Here is a 26,495-nt window from a genome sequence, read left to right as displayed (position 1 = left end):
TAGGAAATGCATTTAAGCTTAAAGAACGAGGCGTCAGATGAGTGAAGAGGGACAGAAATAATATTTTTCTTAAAAACTTAAAAGAGCAGACTCAGTGTGGTGGCTCACACCTGTAATCCTTACACTTTGGGAGACCAACGCGGGAGACTGCTTGAGCCTGGGAGAGACCAGCTTGGGCAACATAGTGCGACCCCGTCTGTACAAAAAAATAAATTTAGACAGGCGCAGTGGCACATGCCTGTAGCCATGGCTACTCAGAAGGCTGAGGTGGGAGGTTCTCTTGAGCCCAGCAGGTAAAGGCTGTAGTGAGCTGTGGTCGCACCACTGTACTCCAGCCTGGGCAACAGAAGCTAGAACAGACTAAAGGGTAAAACAAGAACTGGCAAAATTCAAATAGGAAACTATAGGAAATTCACACAATTATTTCAACAATAACAACAACAGTGAATTGTAAGAGGTAAGAAGTGGAAGCTGCGTGTGATGGCATGTGCCTGTTATCCCAGCTACTCAGGAGGCTGAGGCAGGAGGATTGCTTGAGCCCAGGAGTTCAAGCCCAGCCTGTGTAACATAGTGAGATCCTAAAATAAATAAATAAAAACAGATGGAGATAACTTATAAAGAAAAATTTAAGGCCTATTTCAATTTATCACAGACCTTGATTGGACGCTGATTCAAATAGATTGTTAAAAAAAAGAAAATGAGGGAAGAGAAAAATATATAAGATAAATGGAGTTTTTTTTTTGTTGTTTTTTTTTGAGATCCACCACCTGGGTTCAAGCAATTCTCCTGCCTCAGCCCCCACCAGTAGCTGGAACTACAGGTGCGTGCCACCATGCCTGGCTAATTTTTGTATTTTTAGTACAGACAGGGTTTCTCCATGTTGGCCGGCTGGTCTCAAACTCCTGACATCAGGTAATCCACCTGCCTTGGCCTCCCAAAGTGCTGGGATTACAGGCGTGAGCCACGGTGCCCAGCCAGATAATTGGAGTTTTGAATACTGCTGGATATTTGAACATAACATATATTTGAATACTTTGATAATATTAAATAATGATTTTTTAAATTATGTTTAGATGTAAAAAGGATATCGTAGTTATAATAGGAACGAAGTATTTTTTCCCCCTGGATTTATTTATTTATTTATTGAGACAGCCTCACTGCAGCCTCGGGCTCCTGGGCTGAAGGGATCCTCTGACCTCAGCCCCCTGAGTAGCTAGGACCACAGGCATGTCTCACCACACCCACACGCCCGGTTATTTTATTTTTATTTTCATTTTTATTTTTTTGGTAACAATGAGATCTCACTATCTTGCCGAGGCTGGTCTCATACTCTTGGGCTCAACTGTTCCTGCCACCTCGGCCTCCTGACGTGCTGAGATTACAGGTGTGAGCCATGGCACCGGCCTTTTCCCTGAATTTATGAACGAAATCATAGGCGATCTGGCACTTGTTTCAAAATAACCCATGGAGGAGGAATGGACGGCAATTTAGATGTAACCAGACTGGCTGTAAGTAAATTACTATGACAAAAAGTAGACACACTTTTGTACATGTTTGAACCTTCCCATAATAAAACATTCTCAAAAAGCTGGGGAAAAAACCCCAGGAAAACAAATAAGATTTTTTTTTTTTTTTTTTTGGGGGGACAGAGTCTCTCTCTGTCGCCCAGGCTGGAGTGCAGTGGCGTGATCTTGGCTCACTGCAATCTCCACCTCCTGGGTTCAAGCGATTCTCGTGCCTCAGACTCCCGAGTAGCTAGGGAGTCTGTTCCCTGTTTGTATTGACTACTTCCACGACTGGTAAGCTCTTCCTCAAAAAGTGTAATCTTCTCTAAAGTTTCCCTAAGCTATTCCAATATAGATTCTTCCCATAGATTTTCATAGATTTTCTTACTTTTTTTTTTTTTTTGAGACGGAGTTTCGCTCTTGTTGCCCAGGCTGGAGTGCAATGGCGCAATCTCGGCTCACCGCAACCTCCGCCTCCCGGGTTCAAGCGATTGTTCTGCCTCAGTCTCCCTAGTAGCTCGGATTACAGGCATGTGCCACCATGCCCGGCGAATTTTTGTATTTTTAGTAGAGACGGGGTTTCGCCATGTTAGCCAGACTGGTCTTGAACTCCTGACCTCAGGTGATCCGCCCGCCTCCGCCTCCCAAAGTGCTGGGATTACAGACGTGAGCCACCGCGCCCGGCCTAAAATGATTATATTGTAAAAAATGCAATGAAGAAAAGAAAACATGGTAATGAAATGGTCTTCCCACTCGAAATCCTGTCCCTACCTAAGGCATTAGGATCAACTCAGGCCATTAGGTCAGCTTTCCTCTAAATTGCCCATTCAAAGCACCAGGGGCCACACCCAACCGGGTAGGCGGAGTGCTTTCCTGGCTGCATCTTAGAGGGCTGCATTCAGGTTCCACCCTGGAAGGGAGGAGCCGGAATTCCGATCATTATCTGCCGCGGACTGCCTGTCTCCAAAGCCCTTTGTTTATGGCCTGATCTAGCTAAGGCTTCTAGACTTCAGGAGCTTAAGAATCGTCCGGAGGGCTGGGCGTGGCGGTGCAGGCCTGTAGTCCCACCCACTCCGAAGGCTGCGGAGGGAGGATCAACTTGAGTCTGGGAACTCAGCCAGGAATTCAAGACCAGCCTGGGCAACACAGTGAGGCCCCCTACCCACATCCTCTCCGTCCCCGCAATCTCCTTCCATCCCAGGTCTCCTCTCTACAAAAAATTTAAATATTAGCGGGGCGTGGTGGCGCGGGCCTGTAATCCCAACTACTGGAGTGTGGGGGGAGGGGCGGGGGTGGGACGGCATGGGCTGTAGTGGGAAGATCGCTTGAGTCCAGGAGGTCGAGGCTGCAGTGAGCTATGATCGCGCCACCGCACTCCAGCCTGGGCGTCAGAGCCTGTCTAAAAAAAGAAAAAAAGAAAAAATTACCTGGAGGGCTTGTGGAAGCACAGATTCCTCAGCCCCTCAGCCTCACCCTCCATGATCTGATTCAGGATGTCTTGGGTGGTGGGGTGGGGCCTCATAATTTATTTTTCCAATCAGTTCCTCAGTAAACTGAAGCTGAGCTTTTTCAGACTACATTTTTTTCTTTTGTAAATTTATTTATTTATTTATTTATTCATAGAGATGAGGTCTCACTATATTGCCCAGGCTGGTCTCGAACTTCTGGACTCAAGTGGTCGTCCTTCCTCGGCCTCCCAAAGGCCTCCCAAAGGATTACAGACATGAGCCACCGTGCCAGGTCCAGACAATATTTTGAATGTGTTAAATACACTAGTAACTTAAATGGACCATGGTCACCCTGGGTCCTGAGATTAATGGACCAAATCATTTTCCCAGGGACAGAAAAAGCCCATTGTAAAGGTACTTGGTTGTCCAGTGCTGCCATATTATTGGTGAATGAAATTTCCTTTAGTTGCTCTGGCTTCTTAGAGTGACCTATGAGAACACCTGCTTCATATTTTGCCACATTCCGTGTCCAACATTAGGCTCCAGCAATTCCTAAGTGCATCGTTCCTTCTGCCTTCGTTACTCCACCACTTGCCTTGGTGTTTTGGCTCTTGTTGCTATTCTGAACAGCCAAATCCTTCTCCTCCAACCAGCTCAATATTATTGCAGGCTTAATATTTGTATTTAGAACTAGATCGAAGAGAGATTATGTTATCCAACCCCCACAATTTAAATCTGGAATCTTTCAGTGAGTAACATACCCCCGTGCATAAATCAGGTATAAAATACCTGCGTAAAATGCTCTGAATCTTTTTTCCATTCCCTTCGTAATAAGTAATTTGTTACCAATATCGTCTTATAACTGTTCTAAAACATTCTGTTCATTCCATTGGAACTTGTCAACAAGTGTTTGTCATTTTCAGTTTTCTTTCAAGTTTCACCTATTTTTTTTTCTTCTTTCTTTCCTTCTTTCACTTGTTGAGACAGAGTCTCGCGAAGCTGGAGTGCAGTGGTGCGATCTCGGATCGCTGTAACCTGCGCCTCCTGGGCTCAAGCAGTCCTCCCACCAACCCCTCCCGAGTAGGTGGGATTACAGGCGCTCGCCACAACGCCCGCCTAATTTTTGTGTTTTTTTGTAGAAATGGGGGTCTCGCCATGTTTCCCAGGCTGATCTCGAACTCCTGGACTCAATCGATCCGCCCCCCCTGGGCCTCCCAAAGTGCTGGGATTACAGGCATGAGCCATCGCACCCAGCCTAATTTTTAAAAAAACATTGTCACTGAATGGACAAGACAGGGTATAAAATTGATAAAATTATCCCATTACCAGAAAATGAGGGAGGGCAAAAAGAGGAGGAAAGGAAAACAAGAGCTCATCTGGGTAACAGGAAGTAGAAGGAAACATTTGCTTATAAAAGGAGAAAGCAGGTTAAGAGAAGTAAACTACCATATCCTTAACATTGCTGTCCTTGCCTTCCCCAGGGTGTTGCTGAAAATGTCAGATGCAAATTTGGATAGCAGCAAGAAGGTAAGTTTCATTCTAATAGAATTACTTTTCTCACAGTCGCTTTTCAGAGTCTTTCTAGGTCTCCCTTATGTTTCTCTTTTACCACAAATCTTCATTCCTGGATGTAAGAAATCTCCATCTTGAAACCTCCTCTTCTTTGCAAATAGATTGTTAGTTTTCTTTCATGTGATTGTGCTTTTATGTGCATTTGGATGAGAGTAAAAAGAAGTAAAATTTTCTCCTCTTAGTCCAAAGGAAAATATTTCTTTGGTAGGAAAGATGAGAAGTGCTATAGCTGGACAAGATAAAAATGGTAAAAATAAATAAATAAAAATGGCATGGAGAATAATAATATTAGAGAAAAGATAATTAAAAATTAAAAATAAGTTTTTTTTTAAAAGCAAAGGTGAAAAGAAAGTGAAGGCGGTAATGTGGATAAAGTCATAAAGTAAAGTGACCAATTGGTTACTTTCTTTCAGAGTAGGAAATATCTACTCCCAGTGGCCTTGGTACCAAATGAGTTTCAAGATTAGGCTTGGGTAGTCCTGGCTCTATGAGAAACTAGAGGAGGTGTCATAGTGTATTTACAGGCATCACTGTACCCGTCCTCTGGCTAAAGGACTGAATTGGCCAATATTAGCTATATGATTATGGGGAAGTCACATAGCTGCTTTGAGCCCCTACTTTTCTCTGTAATAGAGTAGTATTCCCTAAATAATGTCAGTGTTATTTTGAAGTAAACTAAGAGTAATGGGAAACTACTGAAGAGGTTAAATAGGAGACAGGAGTGTGGCATCAGCACTAGAAGAGAATATTGCAATAGGACTGGAATGGAGTTTATTCACCCTTGGATTTGAGAAGAAAAGCTAACTTCAGAACCATACTCAAGCCTGTGTTACTCTATGGCATTGCTCATTTAGTTTCCTCATTTGTAAAGCAGGAAAATTAATAAATTACTACAAGTATACTATGAGAATTAAATTTGAGAAATAAAGAACACCTAGCATAGTGCCTGTGTACTGTAGAGAACCAGTAAATGTTAGTTTCTTTCTATCTACCTGCTTTTCTACTTTATCTTTTATTCATCAGATCATAAAAACAACATTGAATGCCTACTCTGTGTAGACTGCTGTGTTTCTGTGAAAGCAACAGAGAGTAAAACAGATACACTCTCCTCAGGTCTTGGAGCTGAAATGAGCCCAGTGTGGCTGGAGCTCAGAAAGCTCAGAGGTCATGAGCTGGAGAGGCAGGCAGGGACCAGACTGTTGGAGAATTTGTAAGCTACACAGCTCTGTGAGCTAATTTGAGTTTTGTCATTAACCAGAATAACAATGACAAGCCATTGAATAATTTTCAACAAGCATGGAACAATCGGTGCAGAAATAGCAGAGTTACAGTGGATTTGGGGATAACAGGAGGTTATTGCTTGTGCTGTGAAATTTGATATGGGAATTGGGAATCTTGGGAATCATGTGATAGAAGATGGAAAGGCAGGAACACACTCCATACAGATTTAGGAGACTTAATGAAAGTATTTTGTGTTTTGGCTGATGAGGAGGAAGGCCCTGAGGGAAATAATTCTCTAAACCCAAGCCCTACCCTTCTATTTTCTCTTTCATTAACACCTACATGTAAATTGGCTTTTGCCCGTTTTTTTCCATGTTTCCTTTATTTAATAAAGGGTCTGCTAATCAACATCACATTCTAGGAATCCCAGTAATTCTTTTCTCCATCCACCTACTGTCTTCTCAGTTCCTTATTCATGACTTTTGCCTTGAAAGCAAGCAGTTTAGTTGTACCGCATCAAATGAAAATCAGTGACTGACTTCTCTTTCCAGAATTTCTTGGAGGGGGAAGTAGATGATGAGGAAAGTGTGATTTTGACACTGGTGCCAGTTAAAGATGACGCAAATATGGAACAAATGGAACCAAGCGTTTCTTCAACTTCTGATGTCAAACTGGAGAAGCCTAAGAAATACAATCCAGGTATGAGGACAGGGATTGCTCAGTTAGTTACTCCTACAACTCTGGGAAGCCCAGGAAAAAGTAAGATTTGTCTTTCCTATCCTCTGACTATACAACACCCAGCTTAAATCTCACCTTGTTAATCTGTGTTAAGAAATTTTGCAAACTCTCATACTTCTCGCTTGCTAAGCCCAATGTACTGCCATACTTTAATTAATTTATTTATTTTTTGGAGATGGAGTCTCACCGTGTCACCCAGGTTGGAGTGCAGTGGCGCAGTCTTGGCTCACTGCAACCTCCGCCTTCTGAGCTCAAGCGATTCTCCTGCCTCAGCCTTCCAAGTCACTGGGATTACAGGCATGGGCCACCAAGCCTGGCTAATTTTTGTATTTTTAGTAGAGACGGGCTTTCACCATGTTGGCCAGGCTGGTCTCGAACTCCTGACCTCAAGTGATGTGCCCGCCTCAGTCTCCCAAAGTACAGGCATTAGCCACCACGCCTGGCCTGTACTGCCTTACTTTTAAGACACAAAATAAGCATGGGGAGCGCTTTGGACAGAGAGTGCTCTTCTGGACCAGCTCCACATGAGTTCAAATTCCCAACACATAAAGCTCAATCTCCTCTTCTATAAAAACGAGATGAATACATATTTGCCTCCTACGAAGATTAAATAATTTTGGAAAACATCTGGTATTTTGCTTAGCAAGTAATTACGAATAGCAGCTCTTAAAATCATGACCCTTTGTATCTGTGCTCAGTGTCTTAGTGCTTCCTATAAAAGCATCAAATAAGTGTTTTTTTTCTTTTTTTTTTTAAATTTTTCTGGAGACGGAGTTTTGTTCTTGTTGCAAAGGCTGGAGTGCATTGGTGCAGTCTTGGCTCACTGCAACCTCCGCCTCCTGGGTTCAAGCGATTCTCCTGCCTCAGCCTCCCTAGTACCTGTAATTACAGGCGCCCACCACCACGCCCAGCTAATGTTTGTATTTTTAATAGAGATGGAGTTTTGCCACGTTGTCCAGGCTGGTCTCAAACTTCTGACCTCAGGTGATCCACCCACCTTGGCCTCCCAAAGTGCTGGGATTACAGGCGTGAGCCACTGCGACCGGCCCAAATAAGTATTTTCAGAAGGATTTTATCTTCTAGGCCAATAATGAGGATTTCAAGATGAAGTAAATAATGATGGGTTAGAGCTAAGCAGAGTGAGGTGAAATGGGGAGCTGTAGAGAAAAATGATTCAGGCTGACAGAATGATGTGGACCATTGTTGATTGGGGATAGACAATGTGATGGTTTCTTTGATTTCTATAGGAAGAGCTGATATTTTGTGGTCCAAAATCTAGACATTTTGGAGGATAAATCCAACATAATGTTCTATTCAGTTGGTTGTTGAGGGCAACAGAAAATAACAGGCTGCTATATGTAGCATAAAAGAAACGTGGATTTTAGAATCCAAACATAGGTTTGAGGCCGGACATGATGGCTTACACCTATAATCCCAGTGCTTTGGGAGGCCAAGGAGGGCTGATCACTTGAGGCCAGGGGTTCAAGACCAACCTGGCCAACATGGAGAAACCCTGTCTCTACAAAAAATACAAACATTATCCAGGCATGGTGGCACAAGCCTGTAGTCCCAGCTACTGAGGAGGCTGAGGCATGATAATCACTTGAACCTGGAAGGTGGAGGTTGCAGTGAGCCGAGATCGCACCACTGCACTCCAGCCTAGGTGACAGAGCAAGACCCTGTCTCAAAACAAAACAAAGCAAGCTGGGTGCGGTGGCTCATGCCTGTAATCCCAGCACTTTGGGCGGCCAAGGAGGGCAGATCACAAGGTCAGGCGTTCGAGACCAGCCTGGCCAACATAGTGAAACACCGTCTCTACTAAAAATACAAAAATTAGCTGGGCATGGTGGCGCGTGCCTGTAGTCCCACCTACTCGGGAGGCTGAGGCAGGAGAATTGCTTGAACCTAGGAGGCGGAGGTTGCAGTGAGCTGAGATCGCGCCACTGCACTCCAGCCTGGGCAATAGAGCGAAACTCCGTCTCAAAAAAAAACAACAAAAAAAACCTACATAGGTTTGAGTCCCAGGTCTGCTATTATAATGGGCAAGTCTTTAAATACCTGAATCTCTTACCTCCCTTTTTTTTTTTTTTTTTTTTTTGAGACAGAGTCTCACTGTATTGCCCAGGCTGGAGTGCTGTGGTGTGATCTCAGCTCGCTGCCGCCTCTGCCTCCTGGGTTCAAGCAATTCTCCTGCCTCAGCCTCCTGAGTAGCTGGAGCTGGGATTGCAGGTGTGCACCCCCATGCCCAGGTAATTTTTCTTTTTTTTTTTTTTTTTTGAGACGGAGTTTTACTCTTGTTGCCCAGGCTGGAGTGCAATGGCGCGATCTTGGCTCACCACAACCTCCGCCTCCCAGGTTCAAGCGATTCTCCTGCCTCAGCCTCCCTAGTAGCTGGGATTACAGGCATGTGCCACCACACCTGGCTAATTTTGAATTTTTTTTTTTAGTAGAGACAGGGTTCCTCCATATTGGTCAGGCTGGTCTCAAACTCCCAGGTGATCCACCCACCTCGGCCTCCCAAAGTGCTGGGATTACAGGCATGAGCCACCATGCCTGGCCATATGCCCAGGTAATTTTTCTATTTTTAGTAGAGACGGGGTTTTACCATGTTGGCCGGGCTGGTCTCGATCTCCTGACCTCAAGTAATTTGGGCGAATTTGCCTCAGCCTCCCAAAGTTCTGGGATTATAGGTGTGAGCCACCGTGCCCGGCCTTGTTACCTCATTTTTAATATGAGAAATAAAAATTGATATGTGTATATGCAAATTGGGTTGTGAGAAATGTGAAAAGATCTTTGTAAAATTTTTTTTTTGAGACGAGACGGAGTCTTGTTCTGTCGCCCAGGCTGGAGTGCAGTGGCATGATCTTGGCTCACTGCAAACCCTACCTCCCGGGTTCATGCCATTCTCCTGCCTCAGCCTCCCAAGTAGCTGGGACTACAGGCGCCCGCCAGCACGCCCGGCTAAGTTTTTTGTATTTTTTTAGTAGAGACGGGGTTTCACCATGTTAGCCAGGATGGTCTCGATCTCCTGACCTCGTGATCTGCCTACCTCGGCCTCCCAAAGTGCTGGGATTACAGGCGTGAGCCACCGTGCCCGACCCTAGATCTTTGTAAAATTTTAAAATAATCTTGCCAACTTTAAATTATTACTACTTTGGTTCCATTCTTGTCTTAGGTCATCTACTTCAAACAAATGAGCAATTTACAGCTCCACAAAAAGCTAGATGCAAAATACCAGCCCTTCCCTTGCCGACCATTTTGCCTCCCATTAATAAGGTGTGTCGGGACACTTTGCGGGACTGGTGTCAACAACTCGGTTTGAGTACTAATGGCAAGGTTAGTACACTTGGGTGAATATCTGCTGCTGGGAATAATTATGGGAGTCTTTGTCAACTTTTAACTTAATCTCTCTCTTCATTTCCTAAGAAAATCGAAGTTTATCTGAGGCTTCATAGGCATGCTTACCCTGAACAACGGCAAGTGAGTAATGAGTGTGTTGATGGTGTGAAGGTGGGTTCTGATCATGATTCGTCCGGTCCCTACCGTCGCACCATATCTATGTGTTGTACCTCTAAGGCAGGGTTTCTTCACTGTGGCATTATTGATATTTCGGAACAAATAATTTTTTGTTTGTTTTGGGGGCTGCCCTGTACATTGTAGTATGTTTTGCAGCATCCCCAGCCTCTACCAGCTGGATGTCAGTTGCAACCTTTCCTCCCCCTGCACAGTTTCAACAACCCAAAATTTCTCCCAGTGGAGAATTTACAGTTTATGGGAACTAATATTCCGAAACCCTTCCCACATTGACATACATGTTCAGGTCAGTACAAAGAATAATAAAATTGGCCGGGTGTGGTGGCTCATGCCTGTAATCCCAGCACTTTGGGAGGCCGAGGCGGGTGGATTACCTGAGGTCAGGAGTTCGAGACCGGCCTGACCAACATGGAGAAACCCCGTCTTTACTAAAAATGCAAAATTAGCCGGACATGGTGGCACATGCCTATAATCCCAGCTACTAGGGAGGCTGAGGCAGGAGAATAGCTTGAACCTGGGAGGCGGAGGTTGCGGTGAGCCGAGATCGTGCCATTGCACTCCAGCCTGGGCAACAAGAGCGAGACTCCGTCTCAAAAAAAAAAAGAATAATAAAATTGACCCAAAAGTCCTTACAGCCCTAGCGGTTTACTGAATACTCATCGTGAATTTCATTTGCAGGATATGCCTGAAATGTCACAAGAGACCAGATTACAGCGATGTTCGAGGAAACGCAAGGCAGTGACCAAGAGAGCAAGGCTTCAGAGAAGTTATGAGATGAATGAGAGAGCAGAAGAGACCAATACAGTTGAAGTGATAACTTCAGCACCGGGAGCCATGTTGGCATCATGGGCAAGAATTGCTGCAAGAGCTGTTCAGCCTAAGGCTTTGAATTCATGTTCCATTCCTGTTTCTGTTGAGGCCTTTTTGATGCAAGCCTCTGGTAAGATCAACCTTAAAGTGTGAGTCCCACTCCAGAGGACAAGGTTAACTTTTATTAGTCCAAGACTGAAACGTGGTCAAAGGGAAGGCATTTGCTAAAATATCTGAAGATTAGAAATTGGATTCACATGGGACATCTTTCTTCTATCTGTCATATTGATGGATAGTCATGTTGTGTCTGGATGGGTCTCTAAATCAGGTGACTGAGTAGTGGCCCTTTTCCATCACTAAGCATAACCTGATAATCTTGGACCACAGTCTGAGGTCTTCCCCTTTTCTTTCTCTCTTCCTTAAGGCATTTATGACATAGTGAATAAGAGGAATGTGTTGGTTCAAATTCTTGCTTTACCATTTCCTGGATATGTGACATTGGCAAGTTACTTACTTTAAGCCTTAGTATCCTGTTCTTTTTTTTTTTTTTTTTTTTTTGAGATGGAGTTTCGCTCTTGTTGCCCAGGCTGGAGTGCAATGGCGCGATCTTGGCTCACTGCAACCTCTGCCTCCCAGTTTCAAGCAATTCTCCTGCCTCAGCCTCCTGAGTAGCTGGAATTACAGGCACCCACCACCACGCCCAGCTAATTTTTTGTATTTTTAGTAGAGAGGGGGTTTCACTATGTTGGCCAGGCTGGTCTCGAACCCCTGACCTCAGACCATCCACCCACCTCGGCCTCCCAAAGTGTTGGGATTACAGGTGTGAGCCACTGCTCCCGGCCAAGTATCCTGTTATATAAAATGAAGATTTACATGTTTCATAGAATAGTAGTGGCTGAGCTTGGTGGCTCATGCCTGTATGCCTATAACTTTGGGAGGCCGAGGTGGGAGGATTGCTAGAGCTCCTGAGTTAGAGACCAGCCTGGGTAACATGGTGAAATACCCTGTCTACAAAAAATACGAAAAAAAGCCGGGCATGGTGGTGTGTGCCTGTAGTCCCAGCTACTCAGGAGGCTGGGGTGGGAGAGTGGCTTGAGCCCAGAAGGTAGAGGTTGCAGTGAGCTGAGATTGTGCCATGGCACTCTGGCCTGACAGACAGATCCAGACTCTGTCTTTAAAAAAAAAATCTTGGCCGGGCACAGTGGCTCACGCTTTTAATCCCAGCACTTTGAGAGGCCAAGGCACGTGAATCACCTGAGGTCACAGGTTCAAGCAATTTTCTTGCCTCAGCCTCCCGAGTAGCTGGGATTACAGTCATGCGCCACCATGCCTGGCTAATTTTGTATTTTTTTTTTTTCAGTAGAGGCGAGATTTCTCCATGTTGGTCAGGCTGGTCTCGAACTCCCAACCTCAGGTGATCCACCTGCCTTGGCCTCCTAAAGTGCTGGGATTACAGGCGTGAGCTACCGCGCCTGGGGCCCTCTAAGAAATCTTGAGGATAACTTAACTCCACTTTTCTCCAACTCCTGCTCTTCTTTTCTTGCTATTGCTTTTATTTCCAGGGTCTGCTATCTCAAGTCACCTTCCTTTTTGGCTTGAATCCTTTTTTTACTCCCCCATTTTCCCATTTCCAGAAGTATTCTAGATCCTATTTTATTCCAGCTAACTAGTATGGTAGGACACATTATTCATCATACAAGGAAACCAGCCAGAAGGAAGACTTGAAGTTGAAATTGGCATATCCTCTGCTCTTCAAGCTACATTCGTTTATGTGGGGACAGTGGGCACCTTTTAATAATTTGTGCAAAGGCATTGTCCAGCCATAAAGCTGTGTGCCTGGGGGCACTGCCTTCCCAAAGAGGACACCTCTTTCTAATTTTTAATAATATGCTGTATGAGTTACTATTATCCCACAGTGACTTATCATTTTATATTTCTCTTCATTCTGCAATTGTTAAGCATCTGCTGTGGTCCAGAGGTATGTCTAGCTGCTGGGTATATACTGTGCTAAACACACACATCTTCTCTTGTTTCACAGTCTAATCGGGGAGCTATCACACTACATGTACTGCTTATTTACAGATATGTAAATTCACTGTGACTGCTCCTTTCCCTCAATTTCAGACGTTCCATGAGTGTACCACTTATTTTCTTGCAAATATCCCGTCTCCTTAATTAAATTGTTCCTTACACTTTTAAACAGACACTTGTCTGTTTCCTGTAGCTGAGGCAGTACAATGTAGTGGTTAGGTAAATGGGCTGTAGGTCTTTCAGAATACTGACTTTCTCTCAATTTCAGACGTTCCATAAGAGTACTGCTTGTTTTCTTGCAAATATCACATCTCCCTACTTAAATTGTTCCTTACGCGTTTTTTTTTTTTTTTTTTGAGATGGAGTTTCACTCTTGTTGTCCAGGCTGGAGTGCAATGGCGTGATCTCAGCTCACTGCAACCTCTGCCTCCCAGGTTCAGGCGATTCTCCTGCCTCAGCCTCCTGAGTAGCTGGGATTACAGGCGCGTGCCACCACACCCAGCTAATTTTGTATTTTTAGTAGAGATGGGGTTTCGCCATGTTGGTCAGGCTGGTCTCGAACTCCTGACCTCAGGTGATCCACCCACCTATGCCTCCCAAAGTGCTGGGATTACAGGCGTAAGCCACCACGCCCAGCCTGTTCCTTACACTTTTAAACAGACGCTTGTCTGTTTCCTATAGCTGAGGCAGTACAATGTAGTGGTTAGGTAAATGGACTGTAAGTCAGTCAGAATACCTGGATCCATGACTTGGCTCTGAGTAACTTATGATATTTAACACCATAAGCTTCGTTTATCTCACCTGTGAATAAGAAATAATAAGAAAAGCAAATAGAAGGTAAATATTAATAGTGTACTTAAGAGTAAATGTATTAATACACATAAATCACCTAGCAAAATATTGGACACAAAACAAGCATTTCAAAATGGCAACCATTATTTTTTATTTTATTTTATTTTATTATTATTAGTATTATTATTTTTTGAGATGGAGTTTTGCTCTTGTCACCCAGGCTGGAGTGCAGTGGTGTGATCTCAGCTCACCACAACCTCTGCCTTCCGGGTTCAAGCTATTCTCTTGCCTCAGCCTCCCGAGTAGCTGGGATTACAGGCATGTGCCACCATGCCCAGCTAATTTTGCATTTTTAGTAGAGATGAGGTTTCTCCACATTGGTCAGGCTGGTCTCAAACTCCCCACCTTAGATGATCCTCCCGCCTCAACCTCCCAAAGTGCTGGGATTACAGGCGTGAGCCACCGCGCCTAGCCAGCAACAATTACTATTCTTTGTGTTATGTAACTTGTGAAATTAGATCATAGTGTCATGTGGTCTAGGTTTTCATGCATCTCATTCAATTGATTTGTGAGCAGAATACAAGAGCAAATTCAAGAGTGACTTGCTGAGAGGTTGTGTTGGGGTGCTATCTTGATTTTTGCTGTCTATATTTGTTTTTCCTTTCCAGGCGTCAGGTGGTGTGTGGTCCATGGCAGACTTCTCTCGGCAGACACAAAGGGTTGGGTACGCCTGCAGTTTCATGCAGGTCAGGCCTGGGTGCCTACCACTCACAGGAGGATGATTTCTCTCTTCTTGTTACCTGCCTGCATTTTCCCATCCCCAGGCATAGAAGATAATATGTTATGCCCCGACTGTGCTAAGAGGTAACCCTTATGTATCTTGTTAAGCATGGCACACAGAAAAGTAGGTGTATAGATGGATTTCTAAATAATTTAACAGTAGAAAGCAGAGGGCGAACATGCTGTCTTCTTAATTTGCCACATAGATCAGGCAAAAATAGGATGCAAGAAGAACTCACTAGTGAATTACAACTCAATAAATGTGGCTAGTTCTTTTTTTTTTTTGAGATGGAGTTTTGCTCTTCTCGCCCAGGCTGCAGTGCAGTGGCATGATCTCAGCTCACTGCAACCTCTGCCTCCTGGGTTCAAGCGATTCTCCTGCCTCAGCCTCCCGAGTCTCAGCTGGGATTACAGGCATGCACCACCACGCCCAGCTAATTTTTGTATTTTTAGTAGAGAAAGGGTTTCACCATGTTGGTCAGGCTGGTTTCAAACTCCTGACCTCATGATCCGCCCGCCTCGGCCTCCCAAAGTGCTGGGATAACAGGTGTGAGCCACCGTGCCCGGCTAATTTCTGTATTTTTAGTAGAGACAGGGTTTCAGTATGTTGGCCAGGCTGGTCTCAAGCTCCTGACCTCAGGACATCCACCCAACTCGGCCTCCCAAAGTACTGGTATTAAGGGCATGAGCCACCGTGCTGTGCCTAAATGTGGCTAGTTCTTAGCCTTAACAAAGCATCTGACAAGTCAGGACCTGATTTCTGCCTCAATTTTAGAGACTTGTTCTAAAGGAAAAAAACACACATTTGAGTTTTTAATACATGTCAGATACTCACCTTGGAATGCAAAAACAAAATCCATCTAGCCTACTCAACTAAAAATGAGTAAGAAGGCCAGGCGCGGTGGCTCATGCCTGTAATCCCAGCAGTTTGGGAGGCCGAGGCGGGCGGATCACCTGAGGTCGGGAGTTCGAGACCAGCCTGACCAATATGGAGAAACCCCGTCTCTACTAAAAATACAAAATTAGCTGGGCGTGGTGGCACATGCCTGTAATCCCAGCTACTCGGGAGACTGAGGCAGAAGAATCGCTGAACCCGGGAGGCAGAGGTTGCGGTGAGCTGAGATTGTGCCATTGCACTCCAGCCTGGGCAACAAGAGTGAAACTCCGTCTCAAAAAAAAAAAAAAAGAGTAAGAAAAGCTATGAAAATATATGGGAAGAATCTATATTGGAATAGCTTAGGGAAACTTAAGAGAAGATTACACGTTCTGAGGAAGAGCTTACCAGTTGTGGAAGTCGTCAGTACAAACACAGGGAAATAAAAAATATGATGGCCAGTTGCAGTGGCTCATGCCTGTATTCCCAGCACCTGGGGAGGCCAAGGTGGGCAGATCATCTGAGGTTAGGACTTCAAGACCAGCCTGGCCAACATGGTGAAACCCTGTTTCTACTAAAAATAAATAAAGAATATAATATATTTAGAAACTGCCAGTTAGTCAATGTGATTGAAGCTTATATTGAGAAATGAGTTTGGGGAGTGGAGGAGCAGACCATGAAAGATTTTATGTCTACATTATCCTGTAAGTCATCATCTCCCAGTAACTTTTGGGACATGGACTTGTTTGAGAATATAATGATAACTATGTGCTCTCCAGGAAAATATACATGCACATAAACACTGCTTTAGACTATAGAATTCCCGATGTCCATCCATGAGTAAAAATTTCAGCTTTTGGTGATAAAATTGGGTGGAAGTGAGATGAGAGAGGTGTGGAGATAAATTAAGGGCTTTTTTTTTTTTTTTTTGTAAGTGGGCTAAATCGGCTCACACCTGTAATCCCAGCACTTTGGGAGACCGAGGCGGGCGGATCACGAGGTCAGGAGTTTGAGACCAGCCTGACCAATATGATGAAACCCCGTCTCTACTAAAAACACAAAAATTAGCTGGGCGTAGTGGCATGTGCCTGTAATCCCAGCTACTTGGGAGGCTGAGGCAGGAGAATCGTTTGAATACGGGAGGCGGAGGTTGCAGTGAGGCAAGATCGCACCACTGCTCTCCAGCTTGGGCAACAGGAGCGAAACTCCGTCTCAAAAACAAAAGAAAAAGAAAAGAAAGTGGGCTAAATCTTAGATGGGAGTATAAATAAGAGATTAGTAATTCAGAAAGAGATAATTCATTACACTGACAAAGCATTTAAGGAGGAATGAGACGAATGTAAGATGTAGGAGTAATGAGAGCAAGATGCTGTCTTAGAAGTGGAGGAAACATAGAAGTCCAATTCAGTGGAGAAGAATCTATGGTGTTTGGGACAAGTTCTAGAGTTCTGAGAGAAGTATGAGTTAGAGCTAAACATCTTTGGGAGTCATCAGCACATACATTGTGGATAAGAGTATGTAGGAAGGAACTGAGGGAGGAACCCTAAAGATAATCAGCGTATCAGTGGAAGGTGGACAGCGAAGACAGAACACAGTTAGAGGTTAGCAGATGAGTGAGTAAAGGGAGCAATGGACAGAGTCTTAGAAGGAAATAATGGTTGGCAGCAAGATGGCCATGTAAGGTAATGATGAATGTGGTGCTCTTGGGACTGGCTGTTTAGGACACTGCTGATGGCCTTTTTGAAAGTAGATTGAGAGGATCAGTAGAAGCCAAAATATGATTTCAGTAACTTAGAGTAGAACATGTGCAGAACTAGAAGCAGGACATGTTGATCACCGTCATTAGCTGAGCCTGGCAGGAAGAGAGAGCAGTTAGTTGAGGCAGTAACCTCAAGGGAGGTTCCTTTCTTTTCGTCTCTCTCTGTCTTTTTCTTTCTCTTTTTTCCCTCCCTCACTGACTCTCGTCATTCTTCCCTTCTTCCCATTTTTCTTCTTTCTTTCTCTCTTTTCCTTTTTAAATTTTTTTTTTATTTGAGATGGAGTCTGGCTCTGTCAACCAGGCTGGAGTATAGTGGCATGATCTCTGCTCACTGCAACCTCTGCCTCCCAGGTTCAAGCGATTCTCCTGCCTCAGCCTCCGGAGTAGCTGGGATTACAGGCATGCACCACCACACCCAGCTAATTTTTGTATTTTTAGTGGAGATGGGGTTTCACCATGTTGGCCAGGCTGGTCTGGAACGCCTGACCTCAAGTGATCCACTCGCCTCAGCCTCCCAAAGTGCTAGGATTACAGGAGTAAGCCACCGCACCCAGCCTTAAATTTTTTTAAATGAAAAAACCATAAGCATTTATGAATGGGGAGGAGCTGCATGAAGAGAGGGGAATGGAGAGTATAAAGATGAAGGAAGCCGGGCATGGTGGCTCACAACTGCAATCCTAGCACTTTGGGAGGCCAAGGTGGGCAGATGACTTGAGCTTAGGAGTTTGAGACTGGCCTGAGAAACATAGTGAAACCCTGTCTCTATATAAAAAAATTAGCCAGGTGTGGTGGCATGCACCTGTGGTCCCAACTACTGGGGAGGCTGAGGTGGGAGGATCACCTCAGCCCTGGAAGTCAAGGCTGCAGTGAACTGTGATAGTGCCACTGCACTCCAGCCTGGGCAGCAGAGTGAGAACCTGTCTTAAAAAAAAAAAAAAAAGATGTGAGATCCATTGCAGTATGTGGAATGTAAGCCCTGAGAGTAAGTGAACAACCCTTTTCCTTTATTTAGTACATAAAGTCTTTTTGTGCACCATTCCTAGGTTTTAGGGCAAATGACTCAGGAACTCCAGAAGTGCATTCTTTTTTTTTTTTTTTTTTTTTGAGACTGAGTCTCGCTCTGTCACCTAGGCTGAAGTTCAGTGGCTTGGTCTCGGCTCACTGCAACCTCTGCCTCCCATACTCAAACAATTATCCGGTCTCAGCCTCCTGAGTAGCTGGGACTACAGGCCTGTGCCACCATGACCGGCTAATTTTTGTAATTTTAGCAGACACAGGGTTTCACCATATTGGTCAGGCTGGTCTCAAACTCCTGACCTCAGGTGATCTGCCCTCCTCAGCCTCCCACAGTGCTAGGATTACAGGCGTGAGCCACCACACCCGGCCCAGAAGTGCATGCTTTATTTTATTGGTCATTTTAAAGGGATTGGTAAGGGATGGTTTACCTTGCTGTAGCAATATTTCACAGTTCTTTTCTACTTGCCTTACAGGAATAAGAAGATGATGAAAAGATTAATGACAGTAGAGAAGTAGCAGCAACCTGTTTGAATACAATGTAAGAGATGAGAATATGCCACCTCAAAATAAGTATTATTTTGATTTGAAGGCAATTGAAAAGAGTCACATACAAGAGAAACTCTCTGCCTTCCCCCTATTCACTAAAAAACAGGACATAAATGTATCAAAGTCTCTTGTCTGCTGTCTACCAGGAAGTACAAATGGTGGCGCGTCTGTAGATAACTTGCATCCCAATCATTGCTGTGCTGTGTCCTGACCATCTTTGGTATCTCCTGATGCCTTGAGTACTGACTTACTAAATAGTTAGCTGCACAGAATACAATTTGGTTTTGTTTTAATTAATGGACTCTTTTTTGAAAATGAAAACTTGAGTGAAAAGTATAGGGTTCCCATGTATTCCCATGTACACGGTGCTTCACACCCCCTCCATTTTCCTCTGTTAGTAACTTGCATTAGTGTGCTACATTTTTTACAATTGATGAGGCAGGGCTGGGCATGGTGGTAGTCACCTGTAGTCCCAGCTACCGGGAAGGCTAAGTCAGGAGGATCACTTGCACCCAGGAGGAGTTCAAGGTTGTAGTTCTCTGTGATCACACCTGTGAATTGCCACTGCACTCCAGCCTGGGCAACATAGTCTCTAAAAAAAAAAAAAAACTAATGAGTCAATATTGATACATTATTCTTTTTTCTTTTTCTTTTTCTTTTTCTTTTTTTTTTTTTTGAGACGGGGTCTCATTCTTGTCGCCCAGGCTGGAGTACAATGATGAGATCTCAGCTCACTGCAACCCCTGCCTCCCAGGTTCAAGCAATTCGCCTGCCTCCGCCTCCCAAGTAGCTGGGATTACAGGTGCACACCACCACGCCCAGCTAAATTTTTATTTTATTTTTTTTGAGACAGAGTCTCACTCTGTTGCCCAGGCTGGAGTGCAGTGGCGTGATCTCAGCTCACTGCAACCTCCGCCTCCCACCTCCCGGGTTCAAGCAACTCTCCTGCTTCAGCCTCCCGAGTAGCTGGGATTACAGGCATGTGCCACCACACCCGGCTAATTTTTTTGTATTAGTAGAAACGGGGTTTTGCCATATTGGCCAGGCTTGTCTCGAACTCCTAATCTTGGGATCCACCCGCTTCGGTTTCCCAAAGTGCTGGGATTACAGGCGGGAGCCACCGCACCCAGCCCCCAGTCAATTTTTTTTTTTTTTTTTGGTATGTTTAGTAGAGTCGGGGTTTCACCATTTTGGCCAGGCTGATCTGGAACTCCTGACCTCAGGTGATCCACCTGCCTCAGCCTCCCAGTGCTAGGATTACAGGCGTGAGCCACCGTGCCCGGCCTCTTTTTCTTTCTTAAAAATTTGTTTATTTTTGAGACAGGGTCTGGCTCTGTCACCCAGGCTGGAGTGCAGTGGCACGATCTCAGCTCACTGCAACCTCTGCCTTCCGTGTTCAAGCCATCCTCTCACCTCAGCCTCCCAAGTAGCTGGGACTACAGACACACACCATAATGCCCAGCTAATTTTTTTTAATTTTTGGTAGAGGACGGGTTTCACCGTGTTGCTCAGGTGAACAGCCTGGTTCAAGACCATTGAACTCCTGAGCTCAAGCAATCCACTCGCTTAATCTTCCAAAGTGCAGGGATTACAGGCGTGAGCCACTGTGCCTGGCTATTTTATTATTATTATTATTATTATTATTTTTAGACAGAATCATACTTTATCACCAGGCTGGAGTGCAGTGACGCCGATCTCAGCTCACTGGAACCTCCGCCTCCCAGGTTCAAGCGATTCTCCTGCCTCAGCCTTCCGAGTAGCTGGGATTACAGGCACCCGCCACTATGCCCAGCTAATTTTTTGTATTTTTTTAGTAGAGATGGGGTTTCACCATGTTGGCCAGGCTGGTCTTGAGCTCCTGACCTCGTGATTCACCCGCCTTGGGCTCCCAAAGGGCTGGGATTACAGGCGTGAGCCACCGTGCCCGGCTATTTTATTATTTTTTTATAGAGATGGGGTCTCACCATGTTTCTCAGGCTAGTCAAACTTCTGGGCTCCAGCAGTCCTCCCACCTCAGGCTCCCTGAGTTCAGGGATTACAGGTGTGAGCCTCTACACCGAGCAGATACCTTATTATTAACTAAACTCTATAGTTCATATTAGGTTTTATTATTCGTGTTGTACATTCTATGGTTTTGACAAATGTAAAATGACATTTATCCAACATAGTGTCATACAGAATAGTTTCACTACCTTAGAAATCCCTTGTGTTGCACCAATTCATCCCTCCCCGCAAGCCCATACACTGGAAACCATAGATCTTTTTGCTCAGTCACCCAGGCTGGAGTGCAATGGTGCAGTCATAGCTCATTGCAGCCTTGAACTCCTAGGCTCAAGGGATTCTCCTGGCCCAGCCTTCTGAGACACTGGGACTACAGGTGTGTGCCACCGTACCCAGCTAGTTTTATTTTTTAATTTTTAGTAGAGATGGGTCTCACTGTGTTGGCGAGATTGGTCTCAAACTTCTGGCCTCAAGCTGTCCTTCTGCCTTAGCCTCCCAAAGTGCTGGGATTACAGGCATAAGCCAGTGTGCCTGGCCTATCATAGCTTTGCCATTTCCAGAATGTTGTGTATACTTAGAATTATACAGTGTGTAGCCTTTTCATATTGGCTTTCAGATAGCAATATGTAGTGAAGATTCCTCCATGTGTTGTCATGGCCTGATAGCTCATTTCTGCCAAACTGTCTTTAAAAGTGGCTGTAGCATTTTGCATTCCTACCAGCAATGAATGAGAGTTCTTGTTGCACCATATCTTTCTTAGTATTTCGTATTGTTTGGATTTTAGCCATTCTAATAGGCGTGCCACAGTATTTCAGTGCTTTTTTTTTTTTTGAGACAGACTCTCTCAGAGAGTGCAGTCACCCAGGCTGGAGTGCAGTGGCGTGATCTCAGTTCACTGCAACCTTTGCCTCCTGGGTTCAAGTGATTATCCTGCCTCTGCCTCCCAAGTAGCTGGGACCACAGGCACACGCTACCATGACTGGTTAATTTTTGTATTTTCAGTAGAGATGGGGTCTCGCCATGTTGGCCAGACTGATCTAAAACTCCTGACCTCAGGTGATCTGCCCACCTTGGCCTCTGAAAGTGCTGGGATTACAGGCATGAGCCACTGTGCCCAGCCAGTATCACATTTTTTTAAATTTGGAATTCCTTAATGATATGAAGTAGAGCATCTTTTTATATGTTTATTTCTCATCTGTGTATCTTCTTTGGTGTGGTGTCTTTTCAGGTCTTCTGCACAATTTTTATTTTTTAACTTACTATTTATTTTTTATTGAGAGAATGTCTTGCTCTTTCACCCAGGCTGGAGTGCAGTGGTGTGATCATGGCGCACTGCAGCCTTGACCTTCTGGGCTCAAGCAAGATTCTCCCACCTCAGTATCCTACTGGGACTACAGGTGCACATTACCATGCCTGGCTAATTTTTCTATTTTTTTTTGTAGAGATGGGGTTTTGCCATGTTGCCCAGGCTGGTCTCGAACTCCTGGCTCAAGTGATCCATCAGCCTCAGCCTCTCAAAGTGCTAGGATTTTGCCTGGCCTTTTTGCACATTTTTTAATTGGGTTGTTTTATTATTGAGTTTTAAGAGGTCTTTGTATATTTTGAATAACAGTCCTCTATCAGATATATCTTTTGCAGATAATTTTCTCATTTCTTTCCTTCCTTTTTTTTTTATTATTTTTTTTGAGACAGAGTTTTTGCTCTTGTTTTCCCAGCTGGAGCGCAATGGCGCGATCTTGGCTCTCTGCAACCTCCACCTCCTGGGTTCAAACAATTCTCCTGTCTCAGCCTCCCAAGCAGCTGGGATTACAGGCATGTGCCACGACACCCAGCTAATTTTTGTATTTTTAGTAGAGACAGTGTTTCTCCATGTTGGTCAGGCTGGTCTCAAACTTCTGACCTCAGGTGATCCATCTGCCTTAGCCTCCCAAAGTTTTGGGATTACAGGCGTGAGCCACCACGCCCAGCTTTGTTTCCTTCTTTTTAAATATCACTTTACTCTCTTCTTGTTTGTAAGGCTTACGGAGAGAAGTCCAATGTAATTCTTACCTTTGTTCCTTTACAGTTAAGGTGTTTTTTTCTCTTACTTTTACGATTTTCTATTTGTCTTTGTTTTTCTGCAGTTTGAGTATGATATGCCTAGGTGTTGAATTTTTGGTGTTTATCCTACTTCCTATCTCTGAGCTTCCTGGATCTCTGGTTTTGTATGTCATTAATTTTGGGATATTTTCAGTCATTGCTTCACAACTTTCTATTCCTTTCTCTCTTCTGGTATTTTCATTACATGTTGAAACCTTTTTGTAATTGCCTCGCAATTCTTGGATATTCAGTTCTTTTTAAAAAGATTTTTCATTTTGCTTTTCAGTTTTGGAGGTTTCTATTGACATTTGTTTAAGCCCTCTGATTCTTTTGTTGGCAGTCCAGCTATAGATGAGTCCATGAAGGCAGTTTTCATTTCTGTTAGTATTTTCTTCTAATTTCTATCATTTTATTTTGATTCTTGGAATTTCCATCTTCCCACTTGCATTACTCATCTGTTTTGTATCTTGTCCACTTTTTCTGTTAGAGCCCTTAGCATATTAATCAACACTGTTTTAAATTCCTGGTCTGGTAATTTCAACATCTCTGCCATATCTTAGTCTTGATCTGATGCTTCCTTTGTCTACAAATCATGCTTTTTGTCTCTTTCTGTATATATATATGCTATTTGTCTCTCTATCTATATGTAAATATAGATATTATATCTGTGTATATAGATATATACGTATAAGTATATATTTATAAATCAGACTTGTATTGTATAAAAGAAAACCAGGGGCCTGGCATGATGGCTTGCATCTGTAATCCCAGCACTTTGAGAGGCCGAGGTGGGTGGATCATTTGAGGTCAGGAGTTTGAGACCAGCCTGGCCAACATGGTAAAACCCCACCTCTACTAAAAATACAAAAATTAGCCGGGCATGGTGGCAGTCACCTGTATTTTTAGTAGAGACGATTGTACTTTCAGTAGAGACGAGGTTTCTCCATGTTGGCCAGGCTGGTCTCGAACTCCTGACCTCAGGCGATCTGCCTGCCTCAGCCTCCCAAAGTGCTGGGATTACAGGTGTGAGCCACCACACCTGGCCAATAATTTGTTCTTATTCCAAAAAGAAAATTATACAAATACCAAATAGAAACAATCTTAATTTTGTTACTTAAAATATTAATGTGAACAATTATTTAATTATTACAACAGATCAAATAATGGAGTTCTCAATTTGAATTGAATTTGGCAATAGCTTTCAAAACCTGACATTTGTATCAAAAACTAATAAACAGTTTTTTGGTTTTTTGTTTGTTTTGAGATGGAGTTTCGCTCTTGTTGTCCAGGCTGGAGTACAGTGGTGCAATCTTGGCTCACAGCAACCTCCACCTCCTGGCTTTAAGCGATTCTCCAGCCTCAGCCTCTTAAGTAGCTGGGATTACAGGCACTGGCCACCATGCCCGACTAATTTTGTATTTTTAGTAGAGACAGGGTTTCACTGTATTGGCCAGGCTGCTCTTGAACTCCTGACCTCGTGATCCACCCACCTCGGTTTCCCAAAGTGCTGAGATTACAGGCATGAGCCGCCGCGCCCAGCTAATAAACAGTTTTTCTACAGAACCTTCTGAATGAAGGCTAATTTAGTAATTTATCCTCTTAGTTCTCAGCTCTGTGCAGAAAGGGAAGAAGGGCAGTTAAGGAAGATGTTATGGTCCAAGTAAGCACTTCACCTCACCCTTTACACTTAACTGCTTACATTTAGAACTCTGCGAGCTTGAGAATATGTGTGCTTGTGACTTGCAGTATATTCTGTGGAATTAAAACAAGGCTCTCCTGAACTCAGCCTATTGATGGCTAATGGCACAGTTGTCCAGTAGGCAGACTGTTTTAGAATGAGCCCAAACTTACACGGAGAATAGAACAGAAAAATTTCCACATTGTACATCACATGGAAGCCATCCCAGTTGAGTGCTTAGTCAGGCTCTCAAAATGCTATAGCATCTGCCTTCTGAAAGTATCATTAATCAATGGTCTTCTAGTATAAACATGTCTTGCCTAAAGACTGGCCTGAAGACCAACACAGGATTGGAAAACATGGTATCATTAGTCTTTGAAATAACTAAGAAGGGGTCCAATTCAGTAACCCAAAGGAAACCAATTCTGACTATACACTATTGTCTAGTATTTCCATCTGCCATTCTTTCTCTATTAAAAGTTACGTTTGTTCCATTTCTTTTCCTCTTGCAGTGCACAAAACACCCTAACTCTCTTGACCCCAAACTCTGCGTATAGCTCAAAGCGGCTCTTAAATATACCATTTCAAATTTGCTTCTAGGTACTAAAGGAGGGATGTACTTTCAGATCATGTAACCTATTACGAAGGAGTGGAAGAGGAGACAATTTGAATGAATCCTCATGATCTACAAAACAAAATCATAGTGACTAGGACTCCACAGTGAAGATGGTTGACTAGTGACACAGCCCCATCTAAAGAATCCCTTTCTGTATGTCTGAAAACCCATTAAAATAAAGTCACTGCAATTGGCCTTGTATTCATTCAGTGTGTGTTAAAGATCCATCAGGAAATCTCTGATGTTACAAACTGACTGTGGTTGGGGACACAGACAAATGGGAAGCACTGCAGACAGGACAGATAAGGGAGAGGTGCCTGACTCGAGCAAGGAAGGGACAAGAGTAAATGGGTCTGTCTAGACATAACCCTAGAGACCAGGGTGAGAAGAAAAATGGTCTTCATCTGTTAATGATTTCTATGTGCCAGGGGCTGGGTTAGAAGTTGGTGAAAAAAAAATAGACATGGCCCCCACCCTTATATAATGTAAAGGATGGTAAGGAAGACTGATACTGTAAGATGTAACTATGGAGATCCAACATTTACAAAGAGACAAGGAGCCAACAAGAAGCAGTACTAGATGGGTGCTTCTATCATTGTGTGGTAAGGGAAAGGCTTTTTAAAATAAAGTCACATCTGAACTCGAAAAAGGAGCCATTCAGAAAACAGATTCGGTGAGACTAACAATTTGCCTAAGCAAAGAGAACTAATACTTTCAGAATCCAGAATTTAAATCAAGTTGTCCTGATTCCAAAAAATCATAATTTGTCTTTAATTGTTCAATAGTTCCTAGAAAGCAAATTTCTTGAAGCCAGAGGCTATATATATATAGAGAGAGAGAGAGAGAGAGAGACATGGATCTTGCTCCGTTGCCCAGGCTGGAGTGCAGTGACGCAGTCTCGGCTCACTGCAACTTCCGTCTCCTGGGTTAAAGCAATCTCCTGTCTCAGCCTCCCGAGTAGCTGGGACTACGGGTGCCCACCACCACGCCCAGCTAATTTTTGTATTTTTAGTAGAAATGGGATTTCACCTTGTTGGTCAGGCTGGTCTCAAACTCCTGACCTCAAGTGATCCACCTGCCTTGGCCTCCCAAAATGTTGGGATTACAGGTGTGAGCCACCACGTCCAGGCCAGAGGCTATATTTTTATCACTCTATCTTAAATCTAACACATAGTAAGACATTTAATCAATTATTATTGAATTGATGTATTTGAAATATTTAGCTTTTTATAGATTAAAAAGTAGAACATTAAAGGCTATATAACAATTATGTTCTAGAAGAGATCTGCTTTCAAATCTTTGATGAACATACTAGACAATTTGGGTTAGGAAGAAAACGAATGAGGGTACAGGTAAGAGAATTAGAGATAAATTTTACATCATTAGGGTTATGTTGGAGATAATATATTACATAAAATAACTAAAACATTGAAAGAAAATCAAAATATGAGAACGTTTTTCATGTTTTTTTTGAAGATTGGGAGTGTGTATATG

General features: G+C 43.7%; 1 protein-coding gene across 4 annotated transcripts; it reads left to right on the top strand.

The window, feature by feature from the left end:
- Window positions 1-2,472: 2,472 nt before the first annotated feature.
- Window positions 2,473-25,202, top strand: DPPA2 (developmental pluripotency associated 2). Of its 4 annotated transcripts, none has more exons than XM_011512444.4 (9): window positions 2,473-2,653; window positions 4,435-4,480; window positions 6,298-6,445; window positions 9,660-9,820; window positions 9,911-9,964; window positions 10,697-10,958; window positions 14,320-14,515; window positions 18,555-18,619; window positions 24,986-25,202. In XM_011512444.4, exons 2-8 carry the CDS (start codon window positions 4,448-4,450, stop codon window positions 18,595-18,597), a joined length of 897 nt encoding a protein of 298 aa, XP_011510746.1. In that variant the 5' UTR covers window positions 2,473-2,653; window positions 4,435-4,447; the 3' UTR covers window positions 18,598-18,619; window positions 24,986-25,202. The 4 variants fall into 4 exon arrangements, with proteins under 4 accessions (XP_011510746.1, NP_620170.3, XP_011510747.1 ...); NM_138815.4 differs by having other exon boundaries at window positions 2,473-2,706; XM_011512445.3 differs by lacking the exon at window positions 2,473-2,653 and adding an exon at window positions 3,254-3,367.
- The last annotated feature ends 1,293 nt before the right edge of the window (window positions 25,203-26,495 follow it).

Source organism: Homo sapiens, chromosome 3 (genome assembly GCF_000001405.40).
Source record: "Homo sapiens chromosome 3, GRCh38.p14 Primary Assembly".
NCBI classification, from domain to species: domain Eukaryota; kingdom Metazoa; phylum Chordata; class Mammalia; order Primates; family Hominidae; genus Homo; species Homo sapiens.
Note: the sequence above shows the minus strand (reverse complement) of the source record. Positions and strands in the feature narration are given on the sequence as shown.